This window comes from Homo sapiens, chromosome 13 (assembly GCF_000001405.40).
Source record: "Homo sapiens chromosome 13, GRCh38.p14 Primary Assembly".
NCBI classification, from domain to species: domain Eukaryota; kingdom Metazoa; phylum Chordata; class Mammalia; order Primates; family Hominidae; genus Homo; species Homo sapiens.
Window position 1 is genome coordinate 54180649 of NC_000013.11, and position 6490 is coordinate 54187138.

The 6490-nt window shown below is 37.5% G+C and overlaps 1 annotated feature.

Moving 5' to 3' along the window:
- Window positions 5074-5733: an enhancer, noted in NCBI's record as "NANOG hESC enhancer chr13:54759857-54760516 (GRCh37/hg19 assembly coordinates)". NCBI's record gives its function as "activates a minimal SCP1, AML or CMV promoter by ChIP-STARR-seq in primed H9 embryonic stem cells {active_cell/tissue: H9 hESC(primed)}" and the evidence as "EXISTENCE:reporter gene assay evidence [ECO:0000049][PMID:30033119]".

The following is a 6490-nucleotide window of genomic DNA, read 5'->3' on the forward strand; positions in this document are numbered from 1 at the left end:
GAGTAAATATCCTCTGCATATCAACTAGCCAGTCAAATGTTAGCACATACTGCATTAATGTGATTTCTTACCTATATGCAGAAATAAAAATGGTTTCTGTATTCAGATGGCTCCATTTTTCTCCAAATTGTTTTCTCAGGCAAAGGTTCTCAAAGTGTGGTCTCCAAAAGAACAGCATCAACCTCACTTGAGAATTTGTAAAACATGCAAATTCTCAGTCTTAGAATCTCTGGTGGCCGGGCCCAGCAATCTGTTTATAGCAAGTCATCCATGTAATTCTAATATATGATATATTTTGAGGACTACTACACTAATGCTTACCAATTCTGAGCTCATTTTTCAAAATAAAGTGAGATTGGTATAAAAGAAATGTAGTACTCTTTTCTAGGTCATTCCTGCTACAGAAAAAGTAAGAGTGAGTTAACAGTAAGCCTCTGTTAATAACATAAAATAACATCTGAAATTTTTGGAAAATGAACTCCATGAGAGTTAGGCTTCCAAATACATAAATGTATACATTCAGACATACCTCTAATAATTAAATATTCTTTGCCAGGCACAGTTTGAAAGCTTTTCCACAGTTTGAAGCCTCTTTCAATCCTCAAAATGAATTTATGAGGTTTTTTTTTTCTTTTCAACTTTTATTTTAGGTTCAGGGGGTACATGTGCAGGCTTGTTACATGGGAAAACTCTGTATGTCATGGGGTTTTGTCACCCAATTAATGAGCATATTACCCGGTGGGTAGTTTTTTAATCCTCACCCTCCTCCCACCCTCTGCCCACAAGTAGCCCTGGGTATCTATTGTTTCCTTCTTTATGTCCCTGTGTACTCATTGTTTAGCTCCCACTTTTAAGTGAGAACATGTGGTATTTGTTTTTCTGCTCCTGCATTAATTCACTTAGAATAATGGCCTCTAATTCCATCCATGTTGCCACTAAGGACATGATGTCATTCTTTTTCATGGCTAGGTAGTATTCCATGGTGTATATGTACCACTTTTTTTTTTTTTTCTCTTGAGATGGAATCTCACTCTGTCACCAGCCTGGAGTGCAGTAGTGCAATCTCGGCTCACTGCAACCTCCGCCTCCCGGGTTCAAGCCATTCTCCTGCCTCGGCCTCCCAAGTAGCTGGGACTACAGGCGCATACCACCACGCCCAGCTAATTTTTGTATTTTTAGTAGAAACAGGGTTTCACCATGTTGGCCAGGATGGTCTTGATCTCCTGACCTCGTGATCAGCCCGCCTCGGCCTCCCAAAGTGCTGGGATTACAGGCATGAGCCACCGCGCCTGGCCACCACATTTTCTTTATCCAGCCTACCATTGATGGGCATCTAAGTTGATTCCATGTTTTTGCTATTGTGAATAGAGATGCAGTGAACATGCATGTGCATGTGTCTTTATGGTAGAATGATTTATATTCCTTTAGGTATATAACCAGTAGTGGAATTGCTGGGTCAAAAAGTAATTCTGTTTTAAGTTTTTGACAAATCTACAAACCTTTTTTCACAGTGGCTTGACTAATTTATATTCCCATGAGCAGTGTATATGTGTTCCCTTTACTCTGCAACCTATGAGGTATTATTAACTTCCCATTTCACAGAGAGGAAAACCAAGGCCCAGAGTTTAGTAACTTTCCCAAAGTCATAAAGCTAGTTGAGAAACAGTAGATATTTTAACCCAAGCAATTTAGTACTTCATGTTTTCAAACACTACTTTATGTTGCTTATTAAAGAAAAATTCTTTTATCCTTCGTAAGGTTATTTTGTTTTTAAAAACACAAAGGTCTCATCATAATCAGAATTTTGAACATATATGTACAACTTGAAGTGTCCCCTGTTGTGTTATATTTAATCTTTATTTTCCTCCAATTTAAACTAGTTAAATTGAGGATTAAGGAGGATATGTGGCCTTTCTAATTCCATATCATTTTTATACTGTTTGAGTAGATCTGTTTTTTGATTAGAATGTATTTTCTCTTATATTTTTAAAAATACTCTTCACTGAAAAGTAAGTTGCTATTTATTTTAATGCATACCAGAAGAGAGAAGGTGGTAGATTTTTATTTCATGCAGACACAGTGGCAGTAAATAAATCATTCCCCCCTATCAAATATAAAAATCATATTATTTACAAACTGATTTGCTTACCATAATTTTATCTTTTAAGGCTGATATACAGAAACTTCCTTTACAATATGTTTAATATATTTGGTGTTTATAAAAATACTAATGTCTACTAAATTAGAAATAAATTGCTAATTGAATTATTACACAGATTTAAAGTGTATTCTTTGTTATTACATGTGTTAACACAAATTGCTTTGCAGTGTATCATATGTAAATCTGATGCAAATTGACATGAGCAAATATTCAGTGGATTGTCTGGACCAGTTATTCAGTTATTGTGAAGAATTTTTAAAATGCCAATAGAGAAAATGTTTCTCAGTTAGTAAATATTAAAATTAGAAAAACATTTTTAAAAAGGTCATCCTTCCATCCACCCATTTTAACTGCCTTACCTTAAAAACATTAGCAATTCCTTCTTCATAGTTCAGTGCAAAGACATTTGAAAATACAATTCAGTATCTCAAAAGTACTGTGAAGGTAAACTGCCTCTTGGGGATTCGATCACCATTTGATTTAATGTTGACTGTTTAATCATATTATAAACTTGTCCAACAGGACTGCATAATTGCCTTCTTAGCAGAAGAAAAAAAAAAAGTAAACAGCTTACCTTGCAACTCCAGTTTCTTAAGAAGCCCATTACATTCCTGAAAACATCAAAAGATTTGTCAGCACTTCCATTATCAATCTCCATTTTCTAGAGTTGCAAGTTGGCTATGAAATTTTACTCTGGGATTAAAATTGACATTTAATATGTTGACCATGGAATAGCCATGATCATGCCCTGGGAAGAAGGGTCGGGAAAGAGGGCGGGGTTCTTTTGCCATGCCATTCACATTAGCTAAATTGTTATTTCTCAAACTATAGTAATAATTTCTGCCATTATTTAGTACTTCATGCTAGGCACACAATATGCACTATATTTAATTCTTTTTACACACTTCAACCAAGAAGGTGATATTATCCTTGATTTGCAGGTGAGAAAACTAATGCCTACAAGAGTGAAGTCATTTTCCAAGCTCCCATGTTTAATCAGTAGAAAACTGAGCTCAAATACAAGTTCAGAGTGCCATGGAGCTTCCTACTACAGAATTGCTGATTAAACTCGCCCATGTGGATGGGGTACGAAGGAGGGACAAGAGCTAACAACGAAAAATGGGATCTTTACAATTCAGCAGCCAACCTACTTCACCTCAATTGCCAGAGGCGACTGTCTCATTCCATAGCCAATTATAGTTCCCGTGGATATTTTTGCTGCCTCTCTTGAAGGGAAAAATTATACTAATAAGTCAGGATTAGAAAAAGACATTCCACTCATTTGACAGCTTGCCATATTTCCGTAACAAACAGTGATTTGATTAGAGAAAATGAGGTTGGGAAATAATCACTTTGATACAAAATATGAACTAATTGGTGTAGGTGTTTTCATTAAAAAGAAGTTCACTATAGTTATAATTCACTAATTTAAATAACAATTGTCTCCCACTTATGTTCCTTATGAGTTCTTGAGCAAAAGCGAGTAAATAGTTTCTCACAGAGAAAGTCTAGGCACCTGACATCTAGACTAATATGACAGATCACATTGCTCAGCATGTTTGAAATTCATTTTAACTTACAAATACATCTAAAATCATTTTGAGAGTAAGTGCTGAATAGTGTTGATGGCTATGCTAATTCTGTGGCATCTTGACTTTGGGGGTGAAAGCAAATTTCAGAGGCAAGAGGAATTGTATTCCTGTTTTAAAAGGCAGACTGGTATGTGAGCCTAACTGAAAATTTGATTTCTGTTTATTATCTTCCTACTTTTGCAATTATGGCCATCAACATTATCAACATCAAATATTTATTGAGCATCTCCTAGGTAAGTAGTGCTGTAAGAGTTGTCCTCAGAACAAAGTTAGGCAGAGCCAAATCTTCTCAATACACCCAGTTTGGCCAAAGCTTGTTGATTTGATCTTTTAGCCCGTCATTATGATTAATTGCGAAGCGAACAATTGGAATGACTAAGCAGTAATCAGAAGAGAAACTTAACAGCAAGAATAACCAAATAGCCTCCAGCCCAGTCTTTTAAAATTGGATACATTTGACTTCACATCCAGGCTCCAGGATGTTTTAAATCTGTTAAAGAGGCAATACCATAAAATATTTCATTGGCATAGGTGTAAAGATAACCAATCGTCAATTACACTGAAACTGATGACATCTAAGGTAAAGTTAATTTTTCAATTTTTGATTGAGAGGATCAATTCAACTTATTAGAAATATTTACATGATATTTAGATAATAGGCATAAACTTGATTGTCTTTTATTCCCACATACTGTCTGTTATTCAGTAGTGGCTGAAAGGGAATGTGTATAAAACAAAAATTCTAACAGCTGTTTTCAACCCCACAAACTGGATGATCTTACTTACCTGAGGGAAGGTGAGACTCAAAAACATAGTCATTTTTAAAAAGGACAGTCATCACTGAAAGCAGTAATGCTTCAGCAGAGATACTTAATCAGGAAAGCAGATCGTCCCCTCCTGGCCAAACTGCCATCAGGAAGCTTGTTCTTAGTAAGCAGGATGGTTCTCAGAGCTGGAGCAGCAGACAAAACTGGGTTGAATTTATATTCCTTCTTTTTTCCTGAATAAAGACCTGCTGAAAAGTTTAAGTAACTAGCCACTTCTCTCTTGTCTGCTTTGTTGTTGTACTGTAATAGTTCTCTGATAATTTTCCGAACCCTGTAGATCAGAGGCCTCCCAGGAAGATTGAGTGGGTTGATTAGGAAGCCCCAGGTTGCTGGATTAAACTTAAAATGCCTCTAATCCTAAAATCCATGTCAGGACAACTTGTCTTGTGCCATTTGGCATGTCTGTGTCTGACCCTCCTTGCTACTTTGCATGCATTATCAATTCTCTTACTAAGTCAGAATTTTGCTTTGACTTACAGAAAGCTCACATCTGCTTTTAGTTGCTTTAATTCTGCTTTTGTCTCTGCCCGAACTAAGTCTTAGAGAACTTCCTACTGCAATTGGAAGAGCTAAACTTTAGGACAAGTTTGTGTGTGTCTGCCTTCTTGCTGTTATAGCTGAAAAGGTCTTGGTTGCCTTACTGAGGTGTCAGAAACTGAAGATCCAATTTCTACTTAATTTCCCCAGAATGGTCTGACCAGAAATGGTTATGGCCTCAAAGAACCACAGAGGGGCGGCAATTATCCATTTTGGTGACACAGAAGCTCCAATTCTCTTAATATAAAGGAGGTGGAGTGGAATGTGAGGTGGGTTACAATGGTATTTAGCACAGTGGAGGCTGGCTAATTGCTCACCAAACCCATTTTCTCTTCTTCATGGGAACATATCAATCCACATTTCCCAGCCATCTTTGTAGGTAAGTGTGGCCATATAACTGAGTTCTAGCCAACAAAATCTAAACTGACTTGATATGGACTATTACCATGTTGGGCAGATAAAATCTTCCTACCTTGAATTCTCCATACTCTTTCCCTATTCCCCAGGCTTCAGACAAATACCAATGGTGACCTTAAAAGCCACAAATTGAAAATGGCAAACTCAAAAGATTGAACAAACCTGAATTCGTGTTCACCATTTTGGGAGGAATATGGAGCCAATCGGGAAAGTCTGTTGCAAACTTCGTATGAATGAGAAATAAAGTCTATGGTACAATAACAATTAAAGTTGGGGTTCATATTTTTAAACAGCTGTTATTATTTAAAATAATAGACTGGGTGTGGTGGCTCATGACTCTAATCTCAGCACTTTGGGGAGCCAAGACAGGAAGAATGCTTGAGTCCAGGAGTTTGAGACCAGCCTGGGCAACATGGTTGTTACAGGTAGTTAGGCATGAGCAGAGCAGAAAAGGAATCCCTGCCCCTCCAGCCCCCACCAGGAATGACAGGCAACCATCAGGTGATGGTTCACCAGTTATCACACTGCCTCTCTAAAAATGATAATTGGCAGCCTGCACCAGGGAGAGGCAATTCCTGACGGTACACAGTTGTCACACTAAAGTGATAATTGATTGCAGGCGCCAGGAAGAGGCAGTTTGCCAAACACATAAAAACACTTGAAATTGGTAATCAGTTTCCAATAAAATCTCAGGAATTGGGCAAGTGAGCGCAGTCATATGCATTAAGAGATAAAATGACAGAGTATGACCTGCTGAGGGCCCAGAAAAAGGGAGGAAAGCCTCAGATGGGTATATGTACAACTTCCTAAACACACTGTGCATGCTCACCTACCAAATGTAAGGAGGGCACTGTGCATGTGGGGAGCTCACCCTTAGGGAAGAATAAAGGGAAAAGGCACAAGATATGGGAAGTGGGCCAGCATATAAAGTCCTAGGATCAAAGATAAATGGGGTA